Source organism: Homo sapiens, chromosome 19, assembly GCF_000001405.40.
Source record: "Homo sapiens chromosome 19, GRCh38.p14 Primary Assembly".
Lineage (NCBI taxonomy): Eukaryota > Metazoa > Chordata > Mammalia > Primates > Hominidae > Homo > Homo sapiens.
Window position 1 is genome coordinate 33,006,151 of NC_000019.10, and position 17,219 is coordinate 33,023,369.

The 17,219-nt window shown below is 47.9% G+C and overlaps 1 protein-coding gene across 1 annotated transcript in view; it reads right to left on the reverse strand.

The window, feature by feature from the left end:
* The window catches only part of RHPN2 (rhophilin Rho GTPase binding protein 2), an 86,297-nt gene that overhangs the window by 27,559 nt on the left and 41,519 nt on the right, over positions 1-17,219 (reverse strand). Inside the window, exons 4-7 of the mRNA NM_033103.5 lie at positions 15,421-15,496; positions 6,497-6,574; positions 5,529-5,653; positions 1,864-2,030 (exon numbers count right to left, since the gene is read on the reverse strand). Of these exons, the coding sequence (NP_149094.3) occupies positions 1,864-2,030; positions 5,529-5,653; positions 6,497-6,574; positions 15,421-15,496 (446 nt within the window). The remainder of the gene's footprint in view (positions 1-1,863; positions 2,031-5,528; positions 5,654-6,496; positions 6,575-15,420; positions 15,497-17,219) is intronic.

The window sequence follows — 17,219 nt, forward strand, 5'->3', positions numbered from 1 at the left end:
ATTACAGGCATGAGCCACCATGCCCAGCCTATTTCATTAATTTAAAAAAAAAAAATTCTTTTTAGGGATGGAGTCTTACTCTGTCACCCAGGCTAGAGTACAGTGGTGCAATCATAGCTCACTGCAGCCTCAAACTCCTGGGCTTAAGTGATCTTCCCGTCTTAGCCACTGGAGTAGCTGGAACTACGGGCATACACCACCACGCCTGGCTAATTTTTAAATATTTTGTAGAGATGGGGTCCTCCTGTGTGGCCCAGGCTGGTAGGACCAATCATTATAACATCAGAAATTTCACGATGAGTCAAAGTGGCAAAGCTATGGTTCTTCACAAGCTTGCAGGGCAAAGTGATATCAAACAATGATCCACACGGGTGGAAGGGGATCACACCCCAAAGCAGAATGTCGATGATCAGCCCAGAAGGCAACACGCTATAGAGCTAGCGTGGGGAACACACTGTGGTCTACACTGTGCCCTGCTCTTGCATCCATCCCCACGTGGAGTCTGACCCAGACACAGCCCTGCTATGGGGGAGCAAGGCAGAACCCGCAGGCACAGGTGAGCCAAGCCAGGCTCACCCACAGCGCTGGGTCTGTTGACCCCAGTCCTCTATAGGTGTAAGCACTAGGCTGCTTTTCTCCTCAACACCGCACCTCATTCTCATACTAAGATTACCTGAGGTCAGGAGTTTGAGACCAGCCTGGCCAACATGGCAAAACCTCATCTCTACTAAAAATACAAAAATTAGCCAGGCATGGTGGCAGGCGCCTGTAATCCCAGCTACTTGGGAGGCTGAGGCAGAAGAATTACTTGAACCCAGTAGGCAGACGTCGTAGTGAGCAGAGATTGTGCCACTGCACTCCAGCCTGGGTGACAAGAGCAAGACTCTATCTCAAAATAAACAAATAAATAAAATAAAATAACAAAAGACAGTTCCCAGAAGAAGGGAACTGAGCTATGAGACATCCTTTGAATGCATCACTTGACAAAGGGTTGAGAACACCCACCTCATGCTGGAGAAGTTGGCAGAATGCAGGTGATATAAAGGCATGGAGGGGCAGGGTGCGGTGGCTCATGCCTGTAATCCCAGCATTCTGGGAGGCTGAGGCAGGCGGAACACCTGAGGTCAGGAGTTCGAGACCAGCCTGGCCAGCATGGCGAAACCCCATTTCTACTAAAAATACAAAAATTAGCCAGGTGTGGTGGCGGGTGCCTGTAATCCCAGCTACTCAGGAGGCTGAGGCAGGAGAATTGCTTGAAACCAGGAGGTGGAGGTTGCAGTGAGCCGAGACCATGCCACTGCGCTCCAGCCTGTGCAACAAGAGCAAAACTCCATCTCATAAATAAATAAATAAATAAATAAATAAATAAATAAATAAAGGCACGGAGAGTAATACGCACTGATAAGGTACACCTAATACAAGAAAAAGAAGCCTACAGTTTCACTATTTGGGAAAAGTTATTCTGCTCTTCATGACAGTGTTGAAAGAAACAGTTATGCACTGCCATCCCAGGGGCCACTTGTCTGGAAAAGATCGTCAGCCACAGGATTCACCATGTACATCAGCCATCCCAGACTGAGGTCTGAACCACCGAGCAAGTTTTTTTTTTTTTTTTTGAGATGCAGTCTGGCCTCGATCTCCTGACCTTGTGATCCACCCGCTTTGGCCTCCCGAAGTGCTGGGATTACAGGCGTGAGCCACCGCGCCCGGCCGGAGCAAGTTTCTTAATGGGAAGTTACACCAGAGCTGGAGACTGGTCTGGCCCTTGCGAGGGATGACCTGTAGATTCTCTTCAGTGGGGGGTCCCCTGGTGCCACCGGGTGGGGCCAAGGCTCCGTCTGGTCAGCCCTGGAGGAGACATACCTGCGGCTCTCTGAAAGGCATCTATGGCACTCTCCAGCCCAGCCTGCGTCTGCCGATCACACCGGGTCCCAATCTGGGTGTAGAGGGCCCCAGTGTTGAACAGGACACTGGCCTTCTCCAGCAGCAGGTTCTGCTGGCTGACCGGAACCCCGGTGAGAGAGTCATACCTATGTGAAAGAAATGCATTCCGAGAATACAGATTACTTGGCTAGTTAATGCTACAAGTGGAAAAAATTCTTTTTTTTTTTTTTTTTAAGAGTCAATATCTCACTCTGTTGCCCAGGCTGGAGTGCAGTGGTGTGATCATAGCTTACTGCAGCCTTCAACTTTAGGGCTCAGTTGATCCTCCCACCTCAGCCTCATGAGAATAGCTGGCATTACTGGTGCATGCCACCATACCTGCCTTTTTTTTTTTTTTTAATTTTTGTAGAGATGGGGTCTATGTTACCCAAACTGCTGTCAAACTCCTGGGTTGGCTGGGTGCGGTGGCTCACGCCTGTAATGCCAGCACTTTGGGAGGCCGAGGCAGGTGGATCACCTGAGGTCAGGAGTTTGAGACCAGCGTGGCCAACATGGTGAAACCCAGTCTCCACCAAAAATACAAAAATTAGCCAGGCATGGTGGCGGGCGCCTGTAATCTCAGCTACTCAGGAGGCTGAGGCGGAAGAATCACTTGAACCCGAGAGGCGGAGGTTGCAGTGAGCTGAGATCGCACCACTGTGCTCCAGCCTGGGCGACAACAACAACAACAAACTCATTTCTTCAGTAAAAGTCAAGAATGCATGTGCACTGAGGCTTTTGTTTCCAAGCAAGATGACAGGACTAATCACACTGACCGCCACAGCCACACACAAAAATATCTGACGGGGTAACTGGATAAACACACCATGGGACATCCAGACAATGGAATATTACTCAGCACTAAAAATGGAGAAATGAACCAGCAAGCCATGAAAAGATGCAGAGGAAACATTACTAAGTGAAAGAGCCAACCTGAACATTGCTACCTACTGTATACGCTGTGTGATTCCAACATTCTGAAAAGCCAAAACCCTGGAGACAGAAGAAAGATCAGGGGTTGCCAGGACTTAGGGGGAGGGAGGGAGGGGGAGCACAAAGGATTTTTCCAGTAGTGAAACTCTTCTGTATGACACTGCAAAGGTGGATCACTGTCATTCTATGTTGGCCAAAAGCCACAGAATACACAAGTGCAAGAATGAACCCTAATGGAAACTATGGACTCTGGGTGATAATGATGTGTCAGGTAAGTTCTTCAATTATAAAAAAAAAAAATGGGCTGGGAGCGGTGGCTCATGCCAGTAATCCCAGCACTTTGGGAGGCCAAGGCGGTATGGCTTCTCCTAAATGAAATATGGCAATTACTAACCCCTCATAATTCTTTCTGAAATCTAAAAACTCAGGATTTGTTTTAATTTGTTTTACTTTTTATTTTTTCAGACAAAGTCTCACTCTGTTGCCTAGGCTGGAGTGCGGTGGCATGATCATGACTCACTGCAGCCTCAACCTCCTGGGCTTAAGAGATCCTCCCATCTGAGCCTCCCAAGTAGGTGGGACTACAGGCATGCACCACCCATGACCGGCAAATTTTCTCTAATTGTTTTGTAGAGATAGGGTCTCACTGTGTTGCCTAGACTGGTCTCAAGCTCCTGGGCTCAAGCGATCCACCCACCTTGGCCTCCCAACCTGCTGGGATTACAGATATGAGCCACCACACCCAGCCTAGGACTTGTTTTATTTTTATTTTTTTTATTTTTTATTTTTTGAGACAGAGTTTTGCTCTTTCGCCCAGGCTAGACTGCAGTGGCGCCATCTCAGCTCACTGCAGCCTCCACTTCCCGGATTCAAGTAATTCTCCTGCCTCAACCTCCCAAGTAGCTGGGATTACAGGCACCCACCACCATGCCCAGCTAATTTTTGTATTTTTAGTAGAGACAGGGTTTCGCCGTGTTGGTCAGGATGGTCTTGAACTCCTGACCTCAGGTGATCCACCCACCTCGGCCTCCCAAAATGCTAGGATTACAGGCGTGAGCCACCGCACCTGGCCCTAGGACTTGTTTTAAAGTTTACTCATGAACCAGGGGGTGTGCAGACAGCTTCTCCCTAATTCATGACTAAGGAGAAACCACCTTTCGCCTTTTCGGCCATGCAGACAGCCTGGTGCATTGTTAGGAAAAGTCATCCCCCTTTCCTTTGCTTTCCATGAGGAAGGCATTAGTAGCCACCCATCAGCTGTAGAAACATTGAATTCTGATATGCCCCTGATCTTCTAGGATGTGTTCTCCTTTCACTGACACTCCTAACGACACTCAGAGAAGGGGTGCAGCATCTCCAAAGTACTTTTTTTTAGGTTGTTTTTTTTTTTTTTTGACACAGAGTCTCACTCTGTCACCCAGGCTGGAGTGCAGTGGTGTGATCTTGGCTCATTGCAACCTCTGCCTCCCGGGTTCAGGCGATTCTCCTGTCTCAGCCTCCCAAGTAGCTGCGACTACAAGGCACGCGCAACTATGCCTTGCTAATTTTTGTACTTTTTACTAGAAGCAGGGTTTCACCATATTGGACAGGCTGGTCTCGAACTCCTGACCTCGTGATCTGCCTGCCTTGGCCTCCCAAAGTGCTGGGATTACAGGTGTGAACCACCACGCCCAGCCTTTTTTTTTCTTGTTTGAAAAAGGGTTTCACTCCTATCATCCAGGCTGGAGTACGGTGGTGTGATCTCGGTTCACTGCAACCTCCGCCTCCCGGGCTCAAGTGATTCTCCTGCCTCAGCCTCACAAGTAGCTGGGACTAACAGGTGCATACCATCATACCCAGCAAATTTTTGTATTGTTTGTAGATATGGGGTTTTGCCACATTGTCCAGGCTGGTCTCAAACTCCTGGGCTCAAGTGATCTGCCTGCCTCGGCCTCCCAAAGTGTTGGCATTACAGGTGTGAGCCACTGTACCCGGCCTCCCAAGTATTTAAACTATACTAACCTTTGAAAATACCAATTGGGTCTACGGCCATACCACCCTGACGTGCCTGATCTTGTCTGAAAATACCAATTGTGGAGAAGAATCAAATGCTCTACTTCCTTTTTTTAAATCTGATCTAAGCTGAGTGAGTAGCTCATGCCTATAGTCCCAGCTATTCAGGAGGCTGAAGCAGAAATATCACCTGAGCCTAGGAATTCAAGACTAGCCTGGGCAACACAGTGAGACCCCATTTCAAAAGAAACCTGATCTATTTCTGTTTGGTGCTTTTGCCTCACTGGATAAGACCTGATTTTCTCTCTCTCTCTCACTCACACATACACATGCATGCCCCTGTCCAATCTGAGATAAGAATCTCGCTTCTGGCTAATTCCACTTCAGAGCCCCCGTGCTTCCCCAGTGATACAACGAGCAAGAAAAATGTCTCTTCTCCTTGGCTCGCTTGTTCTGAGAAGCAAGAGGCCACAGTCTGTTGGAGCCATCTCCCCTCGGATCACCTTCATAAATAAATACCAATGTATTGACATCTTTTGAGACTTCCCCAGATAAATGCAAGATAGGAAAGGGGGCTGAGGTGCACAGGGGCACCCGCAGAGGGGCGTCTGTGATGCTGAGGCTCCAAAATTGTGGCTGCCATAACACGTGAAGCGCCAGCGCAGACCTCAAGCACCTACCAGGTGAACAGGAGTCCCATCTGCCGTGTGGGCGGGAAGAATCGACTCTCGACAAAGCCCAGCTGGATGAAGTATGTCATCAGCAGTTCCACCCCGGCCTCATCCCGGCTAGGCGTCCGACAAGCCTGCAAGGAAAAGAACCCAAGAGGGCATGAGCAGAGGAGGACACAGCTGATGGCCCTTCCCAGAAGGTGCCCTGCACATACCAGCAGGTGCCTGTAACTATTTCTGCAGTATGATGACCTCGCTACTGGCATCGTAAACTCTGGGAGGGGTGGAAAGAACCTGGGAGGAAGTCAGAAATCCTGGAATCCAGTCCCAGCCCTGAGGCAGGGCTCTCCCCTTCTATGGTTTTCCTTCTTTTTTTTTTTTTTTTTTTGAGACAGAGTCTTGCTGTCACCCACCCAAGCTGGAGTGCAGTGGTGCGATCTTGGCTCACTGTAACTTCCACCTACCAGGTTCAAGTGATTCTCCTGCCTCAGCCTCCCGAGTAGCTGGGATTACAGGCGTGTAGCACCATGCCTGGCTTGTTTTTGTATTTTTAGTAGAAACAGGGTTTTGCCATGTTGGCCAGTCTGGTCTCAAACTTCTGACCTCAGGTGTTCCACCCGCTTCAGCCTCCCAAAGTGCTGGAATTACCAGCATGCACCACCACGCCCAGCTAATTTTTGTATTTTTAGTAGAGACAGGGTTTCACCATGTTGGCCAGGATGGTCTGGAACTCCTGACCTCAGGTGATCCGCCCACCTCCACACCCCAAAGTGCTGGGATTACACAGGCATGAACCACCGCGCCTGGCCTCCTTCTACAGTTTTCTTATGCAGCAAGTGGAATGGATGATTCCAGCACCCCCCAACCATCACCTCTATCCACCCGCGATTCTGTTAAGACCACAAGCGTGCAATAATGGGGTTCCCTGAAGACTCGGAAAAGCCACCCTCCCCTCTCTGCTGCACACAAAAACTTACTTGTCTCAGATCCATAAGATCTGCAATTTCATCTTCATATAAATAGCCATCTTCACTGTAATGTTCCAGGATAAAATCCTTAAAGAAAAATGAGGTCAGATGTTATAAAGTGTGGCTGAAAACCATATGTGTGCATAATAGTAATATGTCAATTGTGAACCCATTTTTAAAAAGGCAGAATAAAGAAAAACTTATAGTGATTTTCAAAGTGGGGGAATTTATTTTCTTAATTTATGTAGTTTTTTTTAATACGGAGTCTCTCTTTGTAGCCCAGGCTGGAGTGCAGTGGCACAATCTCGGCTCACTGCAACCTCTGCCTCCCGGGTTCACGCAATTCTCCTTCCTCAGCCTCTCAAGGAGCTGGGATTACAGGCGCCCACCACAATGTCTGGCTAATTGTTGTATTTTTGGTAGAGACAGAGTTTCACCATGTTGGTCAGGCTGGTCTCAAACTTCTGACCTCAGGTGATCCCCCCACCTCGCCCTCCCAAAGTGCTGGGATTACAGATGTCAGCCACCGTGCCCGGCCATAGTTTTTTTTTAAAAAAACAAAAACAAAAAACAAAAAACAGAGTTTCACTCCTGTTGCCCAGGCTAGAGTGCAATCTTGCGATCTCGGCTCACTGCAACCTCCACCTCCCAGGCTCAAGTGATTCTCGTGCCTCAGCCTCCCAAGTAGCTGGGATTACAGGCATGTGCCACCATGCGCAGCTAATTTTTGTATTTTTAGTAGAGATGGGGTTTCACCACATTGCCCAGGCTGGTCTCAAACTCCTGGGCTCAAGCAATCCATCTGCCTCAGCCTCCCAAAGTGCTGGGATTACAGGTGTGAGCCACTGCAACACACGCCTATGTTTTTAAATGTTGTGCTGCTTCAGTAAAAGTGAGAGTTGAAGTAAATTTTTTGCTTAAAAATGTCTTTGTGTCTGCGCATCGTGGCTCACGTCTGTAATCCCAGCACTTTGTGAAGACCAGGCAGGTAAATCACTTGAGCCCAGGAGTTCGAGACCAGTCTATGGCCTATACATTCAACTATACTGCAAACACTGCAGCTATTCAGGGGCTCAGACTTGCAATTCTGGGCCTCCCTCAGGACCCGGACAAGTTTCCCAGCACAGATCCTGAGGGTAGGACTGTCAATAACAGTCTCCAGATACAGGTTTCCTTTGCCAAGAAGACCCTTAACCATGTTATAAAGGCATTTTATTTTATTTTACTTTATTTTATTTTATTTTATTTTATCTTTGAGGCAGGGTCTCACTTTGTTGCCTCGGCTGGAGTGCAGTGGTGCGATCGCGGCTCACTGCAGCCTCAACTTCTCCAGGCTGAAGCAATCCTCCTACTTCAGCCTCCCAAGTAGCTGGGACCACAGGCACGTGCCACAAGCTAATTTCATTTTTGTGTTTTTTAATAGAGATGGGGTTTTGCCCTGTCGCCCCACCCCCGCCCCTACAAGTGCTGGCTCCCCCAAGCTGCAAGAAAGGTGATCACATAGATCGCTCAATTATGTCTTCCCAAGTGACTGTGAGTAACCTCTTTACACAACTTTTACATTAAAGCTCCTCCTGTTTTTGTGTGTTCAACATACAGACACACAAACAGACAAACACTTGTCTTACAAAAATGGATTTGTACTAAATACACAACTTTGCTGTGCCTTCTTTTTCTTTTTTTAAGAGATGAGGGTCTTGCTCTGTCGTCCAGGGTGGAGTGCAATGGTGCAATCATAGCTCACTGCAGCCTTGAACTCCCGGGCTCAAGTCATCCTCCCACTTCAGCCTCTCCAGGAGAGGGGACTATAGGTGTGCACCACCACACTCAGCTAATATTGTTATTTTTCATAAAGACAGAGTCTTCCTATGTTGCCTAGGCTGGTCTCGGACTCCTGGCCTCAGGTGATCCTCCCACCTCAGCTTCCCAAAGTGTTGGGATTACAGGCATGAGCCACTGCACCCAGCTGACTATGCCTCTTTTCTTTAAACTTGGCCATGGGCTGGGTATGGTGGCTCACACCTGTAATCCCAGTGCTTTGGGAGGCTGAGGTAGGTAGATCACTTGAGGTCAGGTGTTCCAGACCAGCCTGGCCAACATGGTGAAACCCCAACTCTATTAAAAATTTAAAAAATAAAAAAATAAAATAGCTGGGCATGGTGGTTAAAAGGGGTCAGGTGTAGTAACTCATGCCTGTGATCCCAGCACTTTGGGAGGCCAAGGTGGGAGAATCACTTGAGACCAGGAGTTTGAGACCAGCATGGACAACACAGTGAAACCCCATCTCTACAAATAATAAAAAATTAGCCAGGCGTGCTGAGGCAGGAGGAGGATCACTTGAGCCCAGGAGGTTGAGGCTGCAGTGAGCCATGATCACATCACTGCACTCCAATCTTATGAAAGTCAAAGAGGATTTTGATTAAATTTTATATGTGATCCTGAATTTGAAACTTAGTAAACTAGGGTAGATTAACGTACTTAGTGGGATAAAAAAATTATCTAACTGGCCAGGCACGGTGGCTCACACCTGTAATCTCAGCACTTTGGGAGGCCAAGGCAGGTGGATCACTTGAGGCCAAGAGTTCAAGACCAGCCTGGCCAGCGTGGTGAAACCCTGTCTCTACTAAAAATACAAAAATTAACCAGGCATGCTGGCAGGTGCCTGTAATCCCAGCTACTCAGGAGGCTGAGGCAGGAGAATAGCTTGAGCCCAGGAGGCAGAGGTTGCAGTGAGCTGAGATTGAGCCATTGCACTCCAGCTTGGATGACAGAGCGAGACTTCGCCTCAAAAAAAAAAAAATCCTAACTGAAACCCACTGTGAACATTAGGGACAAAATGAGAATTTCTACCATCACTGTTATTACTTAGCCTAATTCCAAACATTCTCTAGCCCACACATTAAGAAAAATAAGAGACATAAAATATTAGAAAGAAACAATCAAAATAATTTTTTGCAACGTAACAGCATGTTTATAAAACCCAATAGCATCAACTGAAACATTACTAAATTAATAAGAATTCAATAAAGTGGCAAAGAATTTAACACATGAAAGTCAATAGTAAAAAAGAAAAGTCAATATTCTTCCTTTCTTATACAAGCAATAACCAATTAGAAAAACTTAGCAGACAGCCAGGTGTGGTGGCTCACATCTGTAATCCCAGCAGTTTTCAAGGCTGAGGTGGGCGGATCAGTTGAGGTCAGGAGTTTGAGACCAGCCTGGCCAACAAGGTGAAACCCTGTCTCTACTAAAAATACAAAAAATTAGCTGGGTATAGTGGCAGGTGCCTGTAATCCCAGCTACCCAGGAGGCTGAGGTAGGAGAATCACTTGGACCTGGGGGGCAGAGGTTGCAGTGAGCCAAGATTGTACCACTGTACTCCAGCCTGGGCAACATAGTGAGACTCTGTTTCAAAAACAAACAAACAAACAAACAAAACCTAACAGAGAAATAATACCTTTCACAATAGCAACAAAAGTACATTTCTAGGGATAAAATTAATATAATTAAGCAGAAAACTGTTAAACTTTACTGAAGAACAGATGTTATTTCATTTTCTTTCATTGATTCGAAATTTTTTTTTTTTTTAAATGAGACAAGTTATCATTCTGTTTTCCAGGATGGAGTGCAGGGGCTCAATCATAGCTGACTGCAGCCTCGACCTCTTGGGCTCAAGCAATCCACCTCAACCTCCCAAGTAGCTGGGACTAAAGGTGTGAGCCACTGTGCCTGGCCCTATTTCTTTAAAATAAAACAAAATCGGCCAGCTGCTGTGGCTCACGCCTGTAATCCCAACACTTTGGGAAGCCAAGGAGGGTGGATCACTTGAGGTCAGGAGTTCGAGAACAGCCTGGACAACATGGTGAAACCCTGTCTCTACTAAAAATATAAAAATTAGCTGGGTGTGGTGGTGGGTGCCTGTAATCCTAGGTACTCAGGAGGCTGAAGCAGGAGAATCGCTTGAACCTGGGAGGCAGAGGTTGCAGTGAGCCAAGATTGCGCCACTGCACTCCAGCCTGGGCAACAGAGTGAGACTCCCTCTCTAAATAAATAGATACATAAAATAAAATAAAACAAAATCACACTGTGAAGCTTCACTGATTATAAAACATCACACGGACACACAAGTCAGATTTGAAATGGAACTGCCGTAATTCAGTCTGCTGAACCACTTCTGCAGTACCTGTGTTTCTATCAAATATGGAAGGGAAAAAATACAACAGAAAGTCCGTCAAACGTTCTCATTTTCATATGACTGACATTTGTAGAGTCTCTTTTAGGCTAAAATGACATGGTTGGAAGCCTGTGCCGAATGGCAGTTGGCCATGTCCACAACATGTGAATATTTTCATTTGCTTTAATGTGGAATTCAGAACATGACCCAGTTGAATCCTTAAAAATGCCTATAAAATTCCTAAGTTTCTCCAAGAGACTCTTCCTTTAAAATGCTTGCATTCTTGGCCGGATGCAGTGGCTCACACCTGTAATCCCAGCACTTTGGGAGGCTGAGGCGGGTGGATCATCTGAGGTCATGAGTTCAAGACCAGCCTGGCCAACATGGTGAAACCATGTCTCTACTAATAAAAATTAGCCAGGTGTGGTGGCACATGCCTGTAATCCCAGCTACTTGGGAGAATGAAGCAGGAGAACCGCTTGAACCCAGGAGGCAGAGGTTGCAGTGAGCTGAGATCGTGCCATTGGACTCCAGCCTGCGCAACAAGAGTGAAACTCCATCTCAAAAAAAAAAATGCTTACATTCTTGTAGCACAGCACCAAGCAACAGACAAATTAAATCGTAAAGAAACTTCTACAACAGCAGCAACAGACATTTCTAGACATGTGGATTGTTTTGAGTCCCACAGACCAGTGGCAAGTCACATCTATTTTTGCATTTATATATATACACATTACACATATATTTTAAATAAAAATAGAGATGCGGCTGGGTGTGGTGGCTCACATCTATAATCTCAGCACTTTTACTGGAGGTGGAAGCAGGAAGATCACTTGGGGCCAGGAGAGTTCAAGACCAGCCTGGGCATCATAGTGAGGAGACCCCATCTCTTAAAAAAAAAAAAAAAAAAAAAAGAGAGAGAGAGATGACTGGCCATGGTGGTTGACGCCTGTAATCCCAGCACTTTGGAAGGCCGAGGTGGGCGGATCACCTGAGGTCAGGAGTTCGAGATCAGCCTGGCCAACATGGTGAAACCCTGTCTCTACTAAAAATACAAAAATTAGCCTGGCACGGTGGCTCATGCCTCTAATCCCAGCACTTTGAGAGCCTGAGGCAGGTGTATCATGAGGTCAGGAGTTCAAGATCAGCCTGGCCAGGATGGTGAAACCCCGTCTCTACTAAAAATACAAAAATTAGCCGGGCGTGGTAGTGGGTGCCTGAAACCCCAGCTACTCAGGAGGCTGAGGCAGAGAATTGCTTGAACCCAGGAGGTGGAGGTTGCAGTGAGCCGAGATCACGCCACTGCACTCTAGCCTGGGCAACAGAGCGAGGCTTCATCTCAAAAATATATATATACACACACAAAAATTAGTTGGCCATAGTGGTGCATGCCTGTAGTCCCAGCTACTCAGGAGGCTGAGGAAGGAGAATCGCTTGAACCCAGAAGGTGGAGGTTGCAGTGAGCTGAGATCGCACCATTGCACTCCAGCCTGGGCAACAGAGTGAGACTGTGTCTCAAAAAAAAAAGAGAGAGAGAGAGAGAGACAAGGTCTCATTCTGTTGCCCAGGCTGGTCTCAAACTCCTGGCCTCAAGCTGTCCTCTTGCCTCAGCCTCCCAAAGTGCTAAGATTATAGGCATGAGCCATTGCATCTGGGCATAAGTCTCAGGTAAAAGTTCAGGCAGGCTGTGGCAGTGTGGCATAAAGCTGCAATTCCCGAATTGTTTTCATTGCTTTCTACCCAGAATACAAACTTTCCAGTAAACTTGAGTCCTGAAACATTCAGAATACCAACTTCCCTTCTCCAATTCCAAAATAAACCCCAAACTCACAGGATTTAAACAAGGCAGCAGTCAAAAAGGCCTCTATTTATGTCAAACAACTCACTGTCTCTGAGAATGAACGTCAAGTGCTTCCAAAGTATTAACCAATTGCTTTTAAAAGTAGTAGTTGGCCGGGAGCGGCGGCTCACACCTGTAATCCCAGCACTTTGGGAGGCCGAGGCGGGTGGATCGAGTTTGAGACCAGCCTGGCCAACATAGTGAAACCCCATCTCTACTAAAAATACAAATTAGCTAGGCATGATGGCGGGTGCCTGTAATCCCACCTACTCAGGAGGCTGAAGCAGGAGAATCACTTGAACCTGGGAGGCGGAGGTTGCAGTGAGCCGAGATGCCGTCATTGCCCTCCAGCCTGGGCAACAAGAGCGAAACTCCAGCTCAAAAAAAAAAAAAAAAGAAAGAAAGAAAGAAAAAAATAGTAATAGTCAAAATGTCATAAGATGTTTTCTTTTCTAAACTAAAAGTAGTCCAAGATGAGCCAATTAAGAGGATTATCATGGAAAGTAAAATAAGCCAGGCACAGTGGCTCATGCCTATAATCCCAGCACTTTGGGAGGCCAAGGCAGGAGGACTGCTTGAACCCAGGAGTTTGAGACCAGCCTGGGCAACAGTGGGAAACTCTGTCTTTACGAAAAATACAAAAATTAGCCAGGCATGGTGGCTCACGCCTGTAATCCCAGCACTTTGGAAGGCCAAGACAGGTGGATCACCTGTGGTCAGGAGTTCGAGACCCACCTGACCAACATGGAGAAACCCCGTCTCTGCTAAAAATACATAATTAGCCAGGCATGGTGGCACATGCCTGTAATCCCAGCTACTCGTAAGGCTGAGGCAGGAGAATCGCTTGAACCTGGGAGGTGAAGGTTGCGGTGAGCCGAGATCACGCCATTGCACTCTAGCCTGGGCAACGAGAGCTAAATTCCATCTCAATAAAAAAGAAAGAAAGAAAGAAAAATGCAACAATTAGCCAGGCACGGTGGCACACGCCTATAGTACCAGCTACTCAGGAGGCTGAAGTGGGAGGATCACCTGAGCCCAGGAGGCAGGGGTTGCAGTGAGCCGAGATCATGCCACTGCATGCCAGCCTGGGTGAAAAAGTGAGACTCTGTCTCAAAATAATAAAGAAAAAGAAAAAAAAAAAGAACGTAAAATATTTCTTCAAAGCAATTTTCATGATACTAGGATTAATTCCTATAACCAATGCCTGGGCTGCATGGCGCAAACTTGGGCCACCCTGCACCTCATCCCCTTTCCCCTCCTTGATGGAATTTGGAGGTGACTGGTTAAAAACTCAAACTGATGGAGTTGAAGAGGGAAGGAAGAGGAGGGTATTCCAGGCACAGGACGGTCTCCCAGCCCCAGCATCGGGGCATGGTCTCTCCTGTGTTCTCCACTGAAGCACCTCTTCCACTTCCCACTTGAAACCCCCACTGACCCAAAGGCCCCGCAGGCAGGGCTTGTGGCATCTCTGGCACCCAGCACAGTGCCAGGCACAGGTGGGCTTATGAGGATCTGCAAATGGGAGAGGAGTCCAGATACCCAGGAATGTGGCTGGGGGACACACAAGCAAAGACTCTGGTTATTCAAATATTTAAGGGGAGTGAATTGACATCTTTGATTTCCTTTGAAATTGCATTACAAATAAGACAGACTGATAATAGCCATTACTTTCGTTCTCTTTTTTTTTTTTTTTTGAGACACAGTTTCACTGCTGCCCAGGCTGGAGTGCAGTGGCACAATCTCAGCTCACTGCATCCTCTGCCTCCTGGGTTCAAGCGACTCTCTCGTGCCTCAGCCTCTCGAGTAACTAGGATTACAGGCATATGCCACTATGCCCAGCTAATTTTTTTTTTTTTTTTTGAAATGGGATCTCACTCTGTCGCCCAGGCTGGAGGGCAGTGGCGTGATCTCGGCTCCCTGCAACCTCCACCTCCACCTTCCAGGTTCGAACGACTCACCTGCCTCAGCCTCCCAAGTAACTGGGATTACAGGTGTGCACCACCACGTCCAGCTAATTTCTGTACATTTAGTAGAGACAGGGGTTTTACCATTTTAGCCAGGCTGGTCTTCAACTCCTGAGCTCAAGTGATCCGCCTGCTTCAGCCTCCCAAAGTGCTGGGATTACAGGCGTGAGCCACTGTGCCCGGCCTTTAGCCATTACTTTCAATGGAAAAACTGCAATTACCTTCAAACCAACCTAACAGACACAAGAATGCGCAGATGGACAAATATGTCAGGAAGCAATGCTGGCAGTATGTTCTTGGAAGAATTGAGTACACAGGAGTTTGCTATAAAATTCTTAAAATTTTTTGAAAAGTTTGGAAATTTTCATAATAAAATGTTAGAGAAAAAACTTTAGCTATTCTTCTAAAGACATAACCTAAACTGGTTATATGATTTAAGAAAAAAATACACTATTAATAAAAGAGGATATAAGTTTTAAATTTCAAAGCATGTCCACTACAGACCCTCTTTGACTTGGCCTCTTGGGAAAGGCCCTCCTGGGTTTCCAACCTGCCTTGTCCAAGACCCAGGAGGAGCTTCAGAAGCCATCAAAGGCAACAACAAAAATATGGCAGGAATAAACATATAAATTATGCATGTAGCTGGCTGAGAAGGGCCTCAGGGTCACTCTGTAGATATCAACTGACTCTGCCTGTTGAGCCTAAGGCCATTGCAAGGGATACATATTTTCTCTATCTCCATTTTTTTTCTTTTTTTTGGAGACAGGGTCTCATTCTGTTGCCCAGCCTGGAGTGCAGTTGTATGATCACAACTCACTGCAGCCTCCAGTTCCTGGGCTCAAGCGATCCTCTTGCCTCAGCCTCCCAAGTAACTGGGACTACAGGCATGCGCCACTGCAAATGGCCTATTTCCATTTTAAACACTGAGTCTGGTGCCCATGGCTTTGAGATTTACCTTGAGGACGACTGCAAAGTCGACGTCTTTCGTTTCCTTCAGGCCAAGAGGAATCAGGGGAATCGTAAATGCCTCCCTATGAGGAACACAACAAGGTATGTATGAACACCCCCAACCGGACCCCTGTGCACCCCACGGCCTTGCCCTCAGCAGCCCAAGCTCAGGTGTGTGCCCCCTCCTTACCCCATCCTGTACTCACCTGGCTGACAGGCTCATTTTCCATAAGGATGACTCTGGTCATGCCCCACCCTCTGCTCTAAAACTGACCCCGCTCCCTAAGACTGCTGGACCACCCCTCCTAACACATCAGGCCCCTGGCATCTTGACACTGATTTATCTTCCAGTTTCAATGCCTCAATGGTTCCTTTTTTATTTTATTATTATTTTTTTTAGAGACTCTTGTTCTGTCGCCCAGGCTGGAGTGCAATGGCGCAATCTCAGCTCACTGTAGCCTCTGCCTCTCGGGTTCAAGCAATTCTCCTGCCTCAGCCCCCCGAGTAACTGGGATTACAGGCACACGACACCACACCCAGCTAATTTTTGTATATTTTTTTAGTAGCAATGGGGTTTCGCCATGTTGACCACGTTGGCTAGGCTGGTCTTCTGACCTCAAGCGATCCGCCCACCTTGGCCTCCCAATGTGCTGGGATGACGGGCGTGAGCCTCTGAGCCCAGCTCAGTCTCAATGCTTCTTTCGGCAGCTGTGCTGAGAGTCTATTGTGTGCCAGGGTCTGTGCCTGGTGCACTTGCTGCTCCCACCTGGGTGCACCACCCTGCTGCCTCCTTTGTCAGCTCCTCACCCCCACCTCCTCTGCCCCCCTCAGCGGGCCCCACAGCTGTGGAAGCTCTCCAATACCCTCACATTTGCAACTCTGGGTTCATAGGGGCCTCTTCTTTGGGAAGTGTCTAGGCGTCCCACCACCGGCACAGGAGATGCCGTCAGGGCAGAAGCCCCATCTGACACCGAAATGCACCTGCCTCCCAGCCCAGGGTCAGACACCCTCCACCTCCTCTCCCCCAGCTGACCACTCCGTAACCACAGGTCGCCTGGGGAGTGCTCCCTGAGCCTACATTCCTAGGGGCAGGGCCAGAAGGAAGTGAATGAAGCTCAGGCTGTGTTTTGCAAACAAGGATTTAGCTCCCTGACCTGTAACAGGAGACCTCCTTGGGCTGCTCAGCCCAGCCCCACAAGAAGGCCAGGAAGGCTGGGCAGGGCGAGGGGACAATGCAGCTGTAAGCTGAACCTGGCTCTGCAGTGCAGCTGTGCTACAGCCAGGTGAGTCCCATCCGGGGGCATGGAAAGCCGGATCCTGCTGAAGGCTCCTCCAGGCTACTCAGGGCAGGAAGCCAGGTTTGCAGCTGTCCAGGCAATGAGAAGAGGAGGAGCGAGTGTCCTGAGTCCCAGCTCCAGGGTACCCCAGCCCCAATGTGGCAATGACAGCGCCCTCTAGGTGCCTTCTGGCCTCCCTGAGTTTTCCCATCTGCACCATGAGGTTATTTCTTTCCCACCTACCTCCTAGAAGACTGTAAAGATCAACCATGCTAAGAAAGAAACAGTCTACTTTGAAAACACAGTAGTGCAGGCCAGGTGCAGTGGCTCACGCCCATAATCCCATCACTTTAGGAGGCTGAAATGGGTAGATCACCTGAGGTCAGGAGTTCAAGACCAGCCTGGCCAACATGGTAAAACCCCGTCTCTACTAAAAATACAAAAACTACCTGGGCATGGTGATGTGTGCCTGTAATCCCAGCTACTCAGGAGGCTGAGGCAGGAGAATCACTTCAACCAGGAGGTGGAG